The following is a 17,282-nucleotide window of genomic DNA, read 5'->3' as shown; positions in this document are numbered from 1 at the left end:
ATGACTGAGGTTTCTTTTCTCTTCCCAGTCCTAATTCCTTCATTTCTCCATAGATGTTGACCCCAAGGGCCCACCCTAATAAATGTCCTGCGTTCAAATATCCATCTCAGTCTATTTCCTGGGAAATCCAACTTTTGACACGCATTGATAGATATTTAGACTGTTTTCACTTTTTCATTATTATAGTGCCACAAACACCAAATGTGCTGGCCTTTCTTTAGAAAAAATTCATAGAGAGGTCATGCAGGGTCAAAGGGCACACTTAAAATTTTGGTACATACTGATATATTGCCATCCAAAATAGGTTTATTAATTTTTACTCCAAAATGTTTATTTTTCTGTAACTTGTATTTTTAAATAAACACAGTCTAAGTTTGGTGGGTCTGATGAAAAACTGGGGAACTACCGCCAGATGATGGTGGTGATGATGATGAGTGCAAGAATGATGTTGAATGATGGGTGACACTGATGTTATTATGTGCTTACTTTGTGCCAGGTACTGTGCCAAGACCTTTACTTAGATTTGTTATTTAATCTTCACAACAAGCATGCAAAGCCTAGAGAAAAGTACTTGCTTCAGGTCATGTAGAAGTGGTGGAGCCCAGACTTCTAGATAAGTCTGACTTCAAAGAATTCAAGCTCTTACCTACAATGCTCTCAGTCTCCTAGACAGCCCACGATAGTGCATTTCATAGCCAGTGAAGTTTGGAATTGTTACAAATTGCTGTATCTTGGAACAGACCTTTCTGCCTATAAAAGTAGAAAGGAAACTCCCTTCTGAGTGTTATAGTAGCAGAGATGCTTTACCTATGTCTCTGTCTTCTGACACTGGAATCTAACATTAATACATTTATATATATACAAATATACATATATATGAGCCAAATATATTGCTGGATCGCTGGAGATTTAAAGGCAGGAAAGGGGCAGACAAAGCCTCCCTCTTACTAGGCAGGGCCATGCACTTGACCTTGTAATCAGAGCATTTATTTTGTTGTTGAAGAATGAGCTATTAAATTCATAAGCAACAACACTGAAAGGAATAACAGATCCAGAAAATGAAAGAAACCCAGAGGAGGAAACAATGAGAGAGATTTCAAATAAGCAAAAGAGTACAAATAAAGTATCTGTACTTAGATGTTGAAAACAGGCTGAGAAATGGAATCTTATACCTTTCAATATTTAATTATTCAGCATAGGCAGAGCAAGGGTAAAAGATAAAGACAGCTGTGATCATACCAAATAAAAATCAAATGATAAAATAAATATGGGAGGTAGTTGAGACTCAAAAAGTAAACAAGAAATAAAACTATCTAGAAGAGAGGAGATGTTGAAGAATTTGGGAAATGTCCGCTACTCTGGCTTACCTAGTACTATGTGACAAAGCTCAAGATGGCTCTGAGGTATTCTGAAGAGAAAGATTTTACTGGTTAATTGAGGGGATTACTTCACAGCTGTTCTCCTCCAACAACTATTGAATAACATTATTTATGGGGTATTTACCATTTGTTAGGCCTTAGGCCAAGAGGTTGTTTTTGTTTAATCATTACTCTAACCCTATCATCAGCCCTATTTTACTAGTGGGTAGGCAACTGCAGTAACTTGTTCAAGAACACACAGCTGCTTGATTAGAGGTGGAGTGAGGATTTGAACCCAAGATGGTATGTTTCTGGAGCCCAGATTCCCAACTCTGCTCTCCTGAAATACTCCAGATGGATGGCTCACATAACCAAATAGGGCTATTTATCATCAGTTAGGGAGTGTGATTGGGATTTATGAATCATAAGCTTTGCCTGTCTTCCTTGTTGATAGATGGATAATATTCCCTGAAGAAATAGGCATTCACTTTTAAGAATTCAAGTTTGCTAGGCCTGACTTAAATTAGGAAGATTTACAGAATGTTAACTTAAAGAAAAACAAACATACAAACAATGCCAACAAAAACCACCACCGAAAATAAATCCAACAAAATTATTTAAAAATCAACACTTTGCACTTTGTTCTTACATACAATTCTAAAATATCTATTAAACACGTTTTAAAAGTGTGTTGGAAGGTAAAAGTAAAAATAATGAAATTCTTAAGTATTTAATTAAAATGTGAGGAGAATTCTGGTGCGTTAAGCTAGTGATTGGAAATGGCCTATATTCTTAATACACAATTTACCTTGATTTATAACCTTGGAAAGTCATTTAGTTTCTTTCTCAATTTCCTTATCTATCTTATTCTAATCTCATTTGGAGTGGGGGAAAATTAATTAGGACACACACAGAAGCCAAATAGTTATTTGAACTAAAGCTGCCTAACAAGTAAGCAATTTTTTGTACTAAATTATAGTAGTGAGCTGTATCTAATAGCATTTAATCAAATATATTAACATGTTTTATGAAAAATTTTGCAAAATTAATACTGCCAGTTCTACCATCACTTTCTATCTTTATCCTCATTTCCTTTGGTCCTATTCAAGTTCTGTTCTGACTTTCTATCTCCTAATATCACCAGAGTCATAGCATGGCATAGCTGTAGAGTTTTGACTAGAGAACAGTAAGTTCACAACACATGCACACACACACACACACTCTCACACTCACACACAGTCCTTTACTGCTGGAAAAGTAACCAAAAAGAAGGATGTAGAGAACCATTTTCCCCATTGCCACAGCTAATGAACACTGATACATTAATTATGCAAAAATGGCAAATCCTCTTTTCTAAAGCTAAAGTAGAAAATTTAAATCAACAAGAACATTTAAAAAAATTTAATCCTTTAGGTATTTTAAAGTCAATTATGAGTGGTTTCTTAATAAATAAATGTACTTATAAACTGTCATATTCCTCTACAAATAAATCCAGGATATAATCATTCCTATTTGAAAAGGAGGAGATCATTATTTATCTTACAAGAATTCTTTGCTTTAGAAAATGACTTGTAGGAGTTACTGTGTAGATAACTTGTTTGAGAAACTTAAAATAAAATTCAGTTTGCATATGACTTTTCAGAAACATATTTCATAAGGTCTTCAGTTGCTTTTTAGAAGCAAACTTACAGAAGACAAATCAAGCAAGAGCTGAAAATATCACAATTGGTTTTGTAAAAAAGTACTGCAAACTCAAGCACAATGACTGCTCAAGCCTCTCTGGAGGCCTGTCTAGACTACACAGGCTGAGAATTTATGTGGAAAGAGCAAATTTAGGCAACAGCTGAAATTTTAAATTCTGAACATGCCCTGTGTTGAGAAATGGCAGAAATGCTGGTCACTATCTGGACAGTTGGGTTCAAGCTATTGTATTCTCCTGCCCTCTGCCCTTCCTTCAGAATAGATGAGTGTCATGAATGCAAACAGATATGCAATATTTGTCTAAGAAACCAAGATAGTGTACAATGATGCCTTAAAAAAATACTTGGAACATAGCAGGTTTTATGACCTAATATTTTTGTGACTAGAGATATTATTGAAATTGAGACTATGTTGTTAAATTTATTAAGCACTTATTTGTGCTCCCTAAGGAAAAATACCTAGATTTATTCAGAGAAATGCAGTGTAATGTTTTGTGAGATGTCCATGCAATGCAATAAATTTGATTAGGATAGCTCAAGCCAAGTTCACTGGGAGAAGGGCAGCGAAGAGGTGAAACTTATTTTTGTCAAAGAAAGAAGCCCAAGCCATAGATTCTAAATATATTTTTTAAAATCAAAGGGTCATGTGAACAAAACTTTATTTTTAGAATGTTGAAATATCTGAAAATTTAAAAAAAAGCACTCTGGACAAAGAGATTTTTGTAACAATGTTCCTTTGGTAATGTCCTAAAGTATATTTTTTAGTAATGCTTATAACAGGAAATAAAACTTGATGGAAAATCAGGCAGTTTAGGTTATATTCATTTGCTCTAACTTTTATGCATATTAAAATCTATAATAAAAACTCTACTGCTGAAACCTTTAGATATGAAATGTTATCTACTATCTTTATAAAAGAAAGATAAAAATTTTAAGGAGAAACTTGTCTCTCTAAATAGCATGTTCATTTTAGGTTTATTGAAAGTAGACGTCTTCCAAAATACCGCTTTTACTAACTTAGACCTCTAAGAGATTGGAATTTAAAACTAATTCACTTTTATTCTCTTGATCTGGTAGCTCAAGATAGCTATTTAAAGTGCAACATTTAATTAAAAAGGAAAATTGACACTCTATATGAATATTTTCAAAAATAAACGAGCTGGTTTCCCTCAATTTTTCTGATACATAAGCTTTCTTGGGAATAGCTTATGCAACTTGGAGAATCTTTATTAACCCTTTCTTGGTAGCTATGAACTTATTTCAGCACATAAATCATGCTGAATGGCTACACTGAATAACTAATTTATATAACAAAGGCAATGGTTTTAAAAGTGTAATCTATAGAACCTTTGGTATCACATTTTCTTTTCTTTTTTTCCTTTCTGAAGTTTTGGGTAAAGTGAGTTTAAAAATTTTAGGCCACTTCCTGGGTTTGGTCTTCTGTAAAGATGGCTGATGGGCTATAGTTCACCCTCGTTATAAACATTTCTAGACATTCCTTTAATTCCTATAATGTATCTTCTTTGTCATTTTCAAATCCTGCTGTAATACCTGACTGTGAATTTCCAGGCAATTAAAAAGAAAGGTACTATAACAACAAATCATTTCCTGATAAAATGAGAAAAACCAATGGAACTGCAACCTTACAGGGAGTAGTTTACCTGCTGGGGACATACAGAACATTTTATATTCTCATAGAACTTACTTTGCTCATATAGTTGCAAAACAGCTCTCCGTCATTCATATCACAAAAAGTAACCCTAAACATACTTGCCACTCATCACTGCTTATAAAAATTCGTACCTGCTTCCACACACAGTTGCTATGGCTTTGAAGCAGCCAGATGCAAGTTGGTAGGAACCTGTGTAGCATCGGTCAATTGCCCAGTTAAAAAGATTTATTTGGTCAGGATTAAGTTCCAGTAGCAAGACAACAACTTCGCAGCCAAGTTGATGAACCTGAATACATGGAGCAAATCAATATTATTCCCATTTGATGAAAGAATGTTCTAGAGAAAGATACAGATAAAGCTTAGTCAATATAAACTGAGTAAAATGAAAGGGAAGACCGAGCTTTCATTTTGGTTTTTATGTCATATATTCTTCAAGAGTATAATGTCGTAACTGAAAACTGAAATGTATACATTAAATTTGATCATGTAAGTCTGTTACATAGGGTCCATCTATTCTCAATTTTTACCTCTGGAAAGGAGTGGCTGGGCGTGGTGGCTCACGCCTGGAATCCCAGCACTTTGGGAGGCTGAGGTGGGTGGATTACCTGAGGTCAGGAGTTCGAGACCAGCCTGGCCAACATGGTGAAACCCTGTCTCTACTAAAAAATAGAAAAAATTAGCTGGGCGTGGTGGTGGGTGCCTGTAGTCCCAGCTACTCAGGAGGCTGAGGTAGGAGAATCACTTAAACCTGGGAGGCAGAGGTTGCAGTGAGCTGAGATCGTGCCATTGCACTCCAGGCTGGGTGACAGAGTGAGACTAGGTCTCAAAAAAAAAAAAGGACGAAGACTTTATTGGCAATTTTTTTTGCATTTAAAATATTTCTGAAAAATACACGTATTTGGTTTAAAAAATCCAATATACAAAAGGGTATCCTCTATGTATTAGCTCAGAGTATTGTGGGGGATCATTTGATGTTACCACCGTGCATGCAGAGTGGCCACTCACCTAAACATTTTGATGCCAGTAGGAATAGTGATAATTATAGTGGCAGATGTGAAGTATACTTGTGTATCAATGTCTATTCCTACTACAAAGTCTCTTAAGGAAAAAATCAGAGGAAATATGATTATGAGGATTGGTTACTAAATATACTTTGTGAAGCTTAGTGGCCTATCTTTCAAAAAGAAATACAGTCTCAGTAGACTCTTTTTAATCAAAGTTTTTTAATTAAAAAATCATACTAGATAGAATTAATAGGATGCTGAATCGATGATGCCTGAAGCTACTCTCAAATACTAGATGGTCAGTGAATATGCACATTTGTCCAGGAGAAGCCTGGTGCCTAGAGGTTACATATGTTACTTTCTTCTCAGAAAGTAACATTCTGGCCCAGAGTGGTGGCTCACACCTGTAATCCCAGCACTTTGAGAGGCCCAGGCAGGCGCATCACTTGAGGTCAGGAGTTTGAGACCAGCCTGGCCAATGTGGTGAAACCCTATTTCCATTAAAAATACAAAATTAGCTGGACATGGTGGTGTGCGCCTGTAATCCCAGCTACTGGGGAGGCTGAGGCACGAGAATCACTTGAACCCGGGAGGCAGAGGTTGCAGTGAGCTGAGATGGCGCTACTGCACTCCAGCTGGGGCAATGGAGTGAGGCTCTGTCTCAAAAAAAAAAAAAAAAAAAAAAGTAACATTCTGGTGCCTCTTCTTAAAGTTGTTCACTCTTCTTGTCAGTTGAAACCAGGTGGAAAAGGCAAGATTCTGGCTTCTTCATGTTTTTTTACTTACAGGGTTTGGGCCTAGGTGGGAGTGATATTCTAACTGGATGGTCAAACATCTTCAACCTAGTTTCCCCCAACTCGCTTTAAGTAATTAGCAGCAGATAAAAGCTGACGATATTATTGCAAATGACTTAAAATAACATGTCTCTACTAAAAATACAAAAAATTAGCCAGGCGTGGTGGCGGGCGCCTGTAGTCCCAGCTACTCAGGAGGCTGAGGCGGGAGAATGGCATGAACCCGGGAGGTGGAGGTTGCAGTGAGCCGAGATCGCGCCACTGCACTCCAGCCACTGCACTCCAGCCGGGGGGACAGAGCGAGACTCCGTCTCAAAAACAAAACAAAACAAAACAAATAAACAAACAAACAAAACAAAAAAAGTCATTAAAAAGTTAGACTTGAGAGAAGAATCAAGCTTTTATTGTACTTTAGAAACTTATATTGAGGTATAAAATACACAGAAATAGTATACAGTTCCTATGTATATCATGAGTCATTTTAACACCCTCCTATGATCACCACCAGGTCAAAAACCAGAATATTACCAGCACCACTGAACCCTCCCCTGGGCACTCTCTTAAACACCAGCCTGTCTTTCCTACCCAGGAGAAACCACTATCTTGACTTCTAGCACTACTTGTTAGTATGGGCAGTTTTTGAGGTCTATATAAATGGAATTATATGGTATATAATTTTGTCTCCTGTGGCTTTTATTTGCATTTCCCTCATGCTATAGACTGAATGTTTGTATCCCCGCAACCTCCAATTCATATTTAAATCTTAACCCCCAAGGTGGTGGTATTTGGAGGTGGGGCCTTTAGGAGGTGATTAGGTCATGAGGTGGGGAGCCCTGTGAATGAGATTAGTGCTCTCATAAGAAAGACCCCAGAGAGTTCCCTTGTCTCTTATGTCAAGTGAGGACACAGCAAAAAGACTGCTGCCTGTGAACCAGGAAAAAGGCCCTCACCAGACATAAATCTGCCAGCACCTTAACCTTGGAATTCTTGGCCTCCAAAACTGTGAGAAATAAATTTCTGTTGTTGATAAGCCACTAGTCTATGATATTTTGTTATAGCTGCCTGAATGGACTAAGATACATGATTATTAATGAGCTTGAGAATGTTTTCTTATGTTTACTGGTCAGTTAGATAACCTCTTCGGTGAACTGCTTAAGTTTCTTGCTCATTTTTCTATTCAGTCTGTATTTATCTTATTTATTTGTAGGGGTCCTTTATATATTCTAGATAAGAACCCTCTGCTGACTGTGTGTTATAGACATCTCTCACTTTATGGCTAGCCTGTTCACACTCTTAATGGTGTCTTTTGGTGAATAAAAGTTAACAGCTCTTCCTCAGGGTTAGTAATTTTTGCATTCTGCTCAAGAAATCTTACTGTAACCCCAGGGATGAAGATATTCTTCTGGATTCTTTTCTAGAGACTATTATTTTAGCTGTTACATTTAGATCTACAATCCATCTGCAATGAATTTTTGTAAAGTGTGAGGAAAGGATCAAATTTCTTTTTCTTTCTTTCCTTTAGTAAGGCTATCCAATTGACCCCAAATTACTTATTGGAAAAAAACCATTTTTCTCATAGCTCTGCAGTGCCATCTTTGAAATAAACCATGTATGCATATACATAATACATGGGTAATTTTCTGGCCTCCCTATTCTACTCCATTGGTATATATACTTATTCTTGGTCAGTAGTTCAGTGTTTTAATGACCATACGTTTATAGTAAGTATTGGTTTCTGCTGAAGTCAATCCTCTCACTTTGATTATAGTGTTCAAAGTTATCTTAGCTATTTCTGGTCTTGAAAGGAACTTTCAGTTGTCACAAATATCCTGCCCGGATTTTGACTGGAATTGCATTGTCTCCATAAATCATTCTGGAGGAGAACTGACTTCTTTACAATAGTGAATCTTCCTATTCAATAGCATGGTATATTCTTCCATTTATTAGATGTTTAATTTTTCTCACTAATGCCTTATATATTTCTATGTATGAGGCCTTGCACATTTTTGTTAGGTTTATTCCTGAGTGTTTAATGTTAATTCCAATGTTAATTCCTAATTTTAAAATGCCATTATAAGTGGCATAATTAAAAATTTATTTTTCCAGCTCCCCATCGTTGCTGTACTGAAATATAATTGATTTTTAATTTTGACCTTTCATATGGCAACCAGGCTAAATTCACTGATTAATTCCAACACTTTATCTAAAGACTTGTTGGAATTTCCTACACACACAATTGTGTCACCTGTGAGCAATGAGTTTTATTTATGTTTTATTATTCTTTATAATCCCTTCTTTCCTACTGCATTGGCTAGGATCTCCAGTATGATGTTGATAGAGGTGGTGACAGTAAGCTTCCTTGGCCATTTTAATCTCAGAGAGAACACTTTCAAATTAACTATTAAATATGATGTTTACATATTTTATATTAAATATGGTGCTCATAGGGTGTTTTTTTTTTCAAGGTGCCTTTTGTCAAACTAAGGATGTTCTTTTCTATTTGTAGTTTTGCCAGGAGTTTTTCTCATGAATAAATGTAGAACTTTAACAAATGCTTTTCGTACATCTGAGATCATGTTTTTGAGATTCTGTGAATATAGTTAATATGTGAATGAACTGACAGACATTTGAATATTAACCAACCTTACAGTTCTTCAATAAACCCAATTTGACCATGGTAAATCATCTTTTTTCTATATCATTAAATTCAATTTTCTAATATTTTATTTAAAGTTTTGTATCTATGTATTAGAGACAATCTCATGAATGAGACTGCCTTTTAATTTTCTTTCTTGCTACAACCTTTTCTTGTTTTATTATCAAGGTTATTCTGGTTTCACAAAATGTACTGGGATGTATTTCCTCTTCATCTGTTTTCTCTTCAAGAATTTGCATTGAATCCATGCAATTTTTTCTTTAAATGTTCAGTGGAATTCATCAGCAAAGCCATCTGGTTTTATAGTCTTCTTTTTTTTAACACTTTAAAGAAAGTCACTCTCTCTTTCTTGATTGAACTTGCCATGGATTTATGATTTTTTTTAGTATTGTAACAAATTCAACTTTTGGTTTAGTGATCACTACCATTAATTTGTTTCTCTTTCATTAATTTCTACTCTTATTTCTATTATTTCCTTCATGGTACTGTTTTTGAGTTTGATAGTCTATTCTTTTTCTAACTTCTTGTGATGGATGTTTAGGTCATTGATTATCCACCTTTTCTCTCTTTAATATGAGAGTCTTCAGAAAGCTCATGGAAAATGTATATTATGAAAAAATTATGCATGGATTAAAAATTTTTTGCACCAAAATAAACTTGTGCTAACTTGTTATAACATGTCTGAACAGAATTTAGTTTGAGGCACTAAGAAGGAGAAGACATCAGTTTGAAAAGAGCCGCTATCAGAGTAACATGAATCCTGCTGAAATTGAAGCAAGTACAAATATCAAATTTATAGTGAAGCTTGGGTGGAAGAATAGTGAAATCATTGCTGCTTTAAAAAAATGTATGGGGCAATTCTTCCAAAGAAATTAGCAGTTTACAAATAGAAAACCTGTTTTAAGATGATGTTGAAGATGAAGCCCACAGTGGTAGACCATCCATACCAATTTGTGAGGAAAAAATTCACTTAGTTTGTGCCCTAATTAAAGAGGACTGACGATTAACAGCAGACACAATAACCAACACTACAGACATCTCAATCTGTTCAGCTTATACAATTCTGACTGAAAAATTAAACTTTAGCAAATGTTCCATGTGACGGGCACCAAAACTCATCAGCAGTAGACAAGTAGAGTTTTCAATGAAAATTTTCAACAAATGGAATTAAGATTCTATAGATCTTCAAAGAATTGTAACAGGAGATATAACATGGCTTTACCAGTGCTATCCTAAAAACAAAGCACAATAAAAACAATGGCTACCAAGAGATGGAAGTGGTCCAGTCAAAGCAAAAGTGGACTATTCAAGAGCAAAGGTCATGGCAATAGATTTTTGGGGTTCTCAAGGAATTTCGCTTGTTGACTTTCCAGAAGGCTAAAGAGCAATGACATCTGCTATTATAAGAGTGTTTTGAGAAAGTTAGCCAAAGCATTAGCAGAAAAATACCTGGGAGAACTTTACCAGAAAGTCCTTTTTCACCATGACAATGCTCCTGCTAATTCTTCTCATCAAATGAGGGCAATTTTGCAAGAGTTTTGATGGGGAATCATTAGGCATCCATCTTACAGTTCTGATTTGGCTCCTTCTGACTTCTTTTGGTTTCCTCATCTTAAAAAAATCTCTAAAAGTCACGAATTTTCTTCAGGTAATAATGTAGAGAACGTGGCATTGACATGGTTAAGTTTCCAGGACTTAGGTCTGGGATGGATTCTTTAGGCATGGAGTAAGCAAAGACTTCGAAAAATGTCTTAACCTTGATGGAGATTATTAAGAAATAAAGTTTATATTTTTAAAATTTTTATCTTTTAATTCTATTCTCCCACAAAACTTTTTGAAGTCCTCTTGTATATGTGTTTAAGGCTATGCATTTCATTCTAAGAAAGGCTTTACTTACAGCCCACAAGTTTAGGATATAGTACTTTCATTATTCTTCAGTTAAAAATATTTTCCAGTTTCCATAGTAATTTATTCTTCAACTCACTGGTTATCAGGAAGTATTTTTTAAAATTATCTTTTTGTTATTGAATTGAATACCAACTTAATGCTACTCTGATTAGAGAACATAGTCTCTATCATTTCACTAATGTGACCTTTGTTGAGATTTGCTTTATGACCCAGCTTATGGTCAGTTTTGATAAATGTTACTATCTTTTTTATCTTGATGTATCATAGCGTAAAGCAAACAACACATAAATCTATACTTGTGTGGCTGATGTGTGAAGAGGTATTGTGAACAATGCTTACACATCTCAGTAACTCAACTGAGGCAGAACACAGAAGACATTCAAAAACAATGTATTTTTGCCTATACTTACTCGTAAATCTTGACAAGCCAGAATGTTGTCAAGCCATTTATATAGGTAGCCATCTGGGGAAAGGCCCACATTGTCAAAGACAGGGCCACAGCACAGTACTGCTGACATTGCCTGATGATAAAAACACAACAAGACATGGAAATGAAACTTGGAATGATCTAATGGTATCCAACTGACTTTATAAACCATAATTGTCAGAATTATAAATGATAAGGGCCCTCTAAAGACACTTATTTCCCCATGATTTTTAAAGCATTCTTTAGTAGCTTTAATAAAAAATACCAGATTCCAAATTTGGCTCTTTTCATAAGAATTAAAAACCCATAAGTTTACCTTTGTGGACATTTAATTTTATAATTATAACAACTCTTTATGATCAGAGTAAGTATTCAAAACCAAAAAACTATTTTGCAATATTTAAAATAAGCTTTCCTTCAATGTTTCAAGTGAATTCTGCTTATAAGATAAATATAGCTTTTCGAATTTTGCTTTTACGACAAATATTGGACTAACGTATTGAACTGAGACAGTATAAAATATATGAAAAGTATGAAAGTAAATAATTATAATCCTTAATCAAAGGTAAATAAAATGAAAAATAAAAACTTTAGTTCCTCTAAAGGGGTGGGTGGAGGGATAAATCAAGGGAAAGTAGGAGAAGAGGAGATCTTGAATAACTTTGCAATTGGCAGGTCCAACTGACTATCAGGGCCATAGTTTAAATTAGTTCCACCGAGGCAAAGGTAATCTGAGAGTCAGCAACTTATGTTCTGTATGACAGAGCTGATATACAGTTAGTTTTCTGAAGGAAATTAGGCTGTAAAGGAGTCATGCTTCTGAAGATTTTGAATAGTCCTAGTTGGGGGGAAATTTATTTCTGGCAGTCTTCTAGGATAGAAGGAGATTAAAAAGGGAATGTCGCTCTGGGTAGATTTTGAACCTGAGGTGATGTCTATTTTTTTCTTTTTTAGGTTGAAAGTTAATTGACAAGACAGCTATATAATGGGTAAATGAGCAAAAATATATGGTTCCCATACAGGAGAAATATGAGAAGAAAATGGGAGCTTAGAAAAGCTATGTACGTGTGTGTCCATGTGATTTTTTTGTATGTGCGCTTAGATTTTATTCTATGATATTGTATTATTTATTTTAAGCTTATTTTTAAGGCATGGTTATTAGTTTAACGAGAGAGACCATCCATCTGACTCAGTCATTCGTGAGTACAATATCACCTACTTTTAATGCACAATACTGATATCTTGTAATCTGATGATTTCTGTCACTGTAACGATCCAGAGGAGTGAACATAATGCTGAAGGGTCCTGCCCACTGGCTGAATAAGATGAAAAGGTGGTGCCTCAGACTTTGCTGGGGGAAGAGAAATCTTCGGTGGTGAACTAGGGAGAAAAACACACTTAGAGGTTATAAGACTGGACATACTGTATATCGCTATTATATATATTTCTTACATTTTGAGGAAAGGAACCACTTCATTTTTTAACTACAGTTTTCTTTAGGCAATGAAACATGCACTTAAAAAGTCAAGCCACATTTTCTTTTCTAAGTGTGCACTCTTCCTGTCCTCACGTTGCAGCCAGCAGCACCTTGACTCAGAGTGGGAAAGAAAGATCAAAAATAGGACCTGCAGAGATTTTTTTCTAATCAATACCTGGGAAAACTGCAACACTTCCCACTCAGCTGCTGCTTACATATTAAATGTTTTTTGACTGCTGCCCATCTTTAAGAGAACTCGGAAATAGCATAGACTGTCTATTTCAAACTCACATAGGTACTTCGCTTTAACTGAAGAGGTAAACTGAAATCTTAATTTAGGGTCGCTGAAGATGAGAAGGATTGGTAAAGAAGGTTATTAACATCAAAATAGCGAAAAGCGGAAATATTAGTTGATAAGGGGCTTTTTGTAATAATATCAAAAAATTTAATTAGAATAATTTTTTATAGCAAACTAACCAGATATTTTATTTTCTATGTTCTATTAGAATGAAGATGTTTCATACCCATTTGCTCTGTGAAAGATAATTTTCTCCATAATGTAATATTTAATCAAATGTAAAATATATTAAGCTTTATAGAATTACATTTAATGTGTTGGTAGGGTAGAGTCAGAGAGAAGAAATATTGCTGAAATTACCTGTTCACAGATTAGTACAGAGACAATGTGAAAAAAATGAAGCCTGTGTGAATGTTCCTTCTGAATTACTTCCTTCCTATGGAAATCACATCAGTTCATTTTCAGATGGAAACCAAAACAAAGAATAGAAATGACACACACAAAGCCAAATTTAATACTTATCATTCCCCTTCCAACTCTGTGCTGAGTAATGACAATCTGTTCTCATATATATGTCCTAGTATCTCGAAGTAAATAAACTTCACCATCCCAGACCTGCATAAAGGCCAGTAGGGTTAAAGACGAAAGCACCGTAATAAAGAACACGAATGGGCTTCCAAGCATGAATGGTAATTTCTTGTAACGGATCACCGTACCTGGAACACACTGAATCAAGTTGGCCACCATTGCACTAAAATGTGCCCGGATATCTTTAAGAATTTCAACTTCTTTGTCATTTTCAGCTTCTAGGAGCATGCGGGTCAAGTCCACATATTCTAAGAACAAAGCTCCCAGGGCTAAAGTATCCCGCTCTAGGGCTCCATTTGTGCTGGAATAAAGGAAAATGAAACTTTTAGATGATCAGTCTTTATGTCAAAGTAATACAGGCTTCATGAAAACTAAGATTCACTGTCACAACTCACACACTAAAGTTGTTCCTAACCTATATGCAGTGTAAAGAAAATATGAAAAAAGAAAAAGCGAGTTTTTGGATTTTTCTAAGTTAAGGGTATTATATTTAAAAACAAAGAAAAGACAAAAGAGAGAGACAGAAAGAAAACAAAAAGATCAGTCTGGTGAGAAGAGAGCAACTCGGTAGAATTCTGATCCTACCTGTCACTTATTACACCAGCATCAGCCAAAAGTTCAAAAATTCGAAGTAGTTGTAGCCTTAACAAGTCTCGCCGTTCTCGGCGTTTCTTGTTCTGTGTAGAAAGAGGTAGTATCACTTACAGACACAGGCAAAACAATATTAACTTTGTTTTAGAAAATGGTATTAACAAAAGGCATAATCTAGTCATTTTCAATTTTCTAAGCATAAAAGTCAGCATACATTTTTCTTTCTTCCTAATCCTCAGAGGAAATGCTTGCTATCTACAGGCTGTAAGAAAAAAAAACATCATAAGTGGGTCAGTAAATATTAGGTGGCAATGTTGAGAACCAACAAGCCTCATTTCCCAGATGCTCCCAGTGTCTGCTGAAAGGCAGAAGCATCTCAAACCAGTGAAAGGGGCAGGGGACATGAAATAATCCCAGTTCTGGTCATGGAAGTAACACTGTTTGTTCTTATTCACACTGCTGAATTTCTGTTATTTCTTTATTTTTACATTTTATTTATTTATTTTTGAGATAGGATTTCACCATGTCACCCAGGCTGGAGTGCAGTGGTGTGATCTTGGCTTACTATAACCTCGAACTCCTGGGCTCAAGTGATTCTTCTGCCTCAGCCTCTCGAGTAGCTGGGACTACAGGCGTGCACCACCACACCTGGCTACTCTAGTAGCTGGGACTACAGGCATGCACCACCACACCCGGCTAATTTAAAACATTTTTGTAGACCTAGGTCTTGCTATGTGCCCAGCCTGGTCTCAAACTCTTAGCCTCAAGTAATCCTTCTACATTGGCCTCCCAAAGTGCTGGGATTACAGGCATGAGCTACTGCACCTGACCTAATTTCTGCTATTTCTTGTATCATTGCTACTATATGAGAAGCCTCCTTTTCTAGGTTTTTTTTTTTTTTTTTTTTTTGGAGACAGAGTCTTGCTCTGTCACCCAGGCTGGAGTGCAGTGGCGTGATCTCGGCTCACTGCAACCTCCACCTCCCAGGTTCAAGTGATTCTCCAGCCTCAGCCTCCAGAGTAGCTGGGACTACAGGCGCGTGCCACCACGCCCAGCTAATTTTTGTGTTTTTAGTAGAGATGGGGTTTCACCATATTGGCCAGGATGGTCTCGATCTCTTGACTTCTTGATCTGCCCGCTTTGGCCTCCCAAAATGCTGGGATTACAGGCGTGCGCCATCGCGCCTGGCCCTTTTCTAGTCTTATTATTATTTTTATCCTGGTACATTATAAGTTCATCCTTTTCAGAATTCACTTCAGGGAAGGTGATGCTAGGGAAAATGCCTCGTATGCCAGATGAAACAAATTACATTCTTGGCCATTCAACTCCTTGTGAAAAAACAAGCAAACACACAAAAACCCAAAATTCAATTTTAACTCAAACCTCCTGCAAAAGAATGTAATAGTTGACAAACATGAGTATTTTAAGTTGTTTTGCATTTGTATGTTTAGGACATAAAATCTATAGAACCATTTTATACTAAATAATGAAAACTGAAAAATAATAAAAACAACAAAAGTTAAAATATAAAGATTCATTTGTTAAAAGGTGTTAGGGGTTTGTATTCTTTAGGGGAAATCACTAGGTTTGATTTAAATTCAGATGATTGTCCAAAAAACCAAGCCTTAATTTTTTAAATTCAAATTCTTACCTCTGGTCTTCTTTCCAGAGCTTCTTTCATTAATGGATGAAGTTCTTCTACCAATTCTCTGTGGAGGAAAAAGGTCAAATTTGAAATTCATTGTTTTTGACACCAAACTTGTCACTAAATACTCTATATCCATTTAATCCCAAATCACTTGCTTTTTACACTTTGCTTCTGACATCACAATCTCCCTGATCTCTCCATTTCCCAATCACGTGCTAAGCTGGAAACAGGTATTGGCCTATACTTTGTATTACTGGTCTTAATTCCAGTGCTATGCATATAATTCTGGCTTAAAATCTATTTGTTGACTTGATTTTGATTTAATGTTCTGGAGATCTCTATGGCAAAAAACAAACAAACAAACAAAAAAACAAAACCCTATGTGAACAATTAAACAAACAATATTTTCCAAGTATTTGCTAAATTCAAGCACTTTACTGCAAGCTATGGAGCTCAAGATAAATAAAATTGAGCCCCTGTACACAAGAAATTTTCAGTCTAATTAGTGGAAAAGAGATGGGTGCAATTACCACAGTGCTGCATTTGGGATCTGTGCTCCGCAAACTGACTTACAGTTGACTTTAAAACAAAGCCTTTTTTGGATTTCAGAACTAAATTCCTTTATTTCCACTATATAATAAATAAAAAATTCTGTATGGCAAGTACTAAAATTGTGAGATTCCCATCAAAACCTTTTCTTTTATGTAGTAAAAATGTAAGTCTTGATCACAGTATATATCTTTGTTCTGATTATCTCCAGTTCTCAACATTACACTTTCTAATCTAATTAGTTCTCTTCTTCAAGAAATAACTTCTGAATTGCTAGGTCAAAAAACAGACAAAAAGATAAGATGTAGCTTGTTGTCAGACTAGTATGTAGGTATTTTGTCTGTAGTATGCCCAAGTTTGAAAACCTTGTACTTTCTGGTAGGATATTTTGTTCTATTAAACATCACTAGCCAGGAAAATCCAAAGACAGGAAGATAAACTCTATGACATTCCATATCGAGAGACAGAAAGCCTGGGTTCTATTCCTGATTTCTCCAATGCAGACATTAGAATTTCTTCATCGAAGAAATGGGAATAACATCGATAATTTCCTCCACTTTACAGCTACCATTTAACAAATATTTACATTGTGAATATTTACATTTAATATGC

General features: G+C 35.6%; 1 protein-coding gene across 6 annotated transcripts in view; it reads right to left on the bottom strand.

Annotated features, from left to right (window-relative positions):
• FRY (FRY microtubule binding protein) overlaps window positions 1-17,282 on the bottom strand; it is a 267,352-nt gene that overhangs the window by 99,967 nt on the left and 150,103 nt on the right. For all 6 annotated transcript variants that reach the window (XM_047429999.1, NM_001411012.1, XM_047430000.1 and 3 more), the window contains 6 exons: window positions 16,125-16,182; window positions 14,468-14,559; window positions 14,011-14,183; window positions 12,739-12,899; window positions 11,503-11,613; window positions 4,862-5,016 (listed from right to left, as the gene is read on the bottom strand). In XM_047429999.1, coding sequence (XP_047285955.1) covers window positions 4,862-5,016; window positions 11,503-11,613; window positions 12,739-12,899; window positions 14,011-14,183; window positions 14,468-14,559; window positions 16,125-16,182 — 750 coding nt within the window. The remainder of the gene's footprint in view (window positions 1-4,861; window positions 5,017-11,502; window positions 11,614-12,738; window positions 12,900-14,010; window positions 14,184-14,467; window positions 14,560-16,124; window positions 16,183-17,282) is intronic.

This window comes from Homo sapiens, chromosome 13 (genome assembly GCF_000001405.40).
Source record: "Homo sapiens chromosome 13, GRCh38.p14 Primary Assembly".
Taxonomy (NCBI): domain Eukaryota; kingdom Metazoa; phylum Chordata; class Mammalia; order Primates; family Hominidae; genus Homo; species Homo sapiens.
This window is presented reverse-complemented; position numbering and strand designations above follow the sequence as displayed.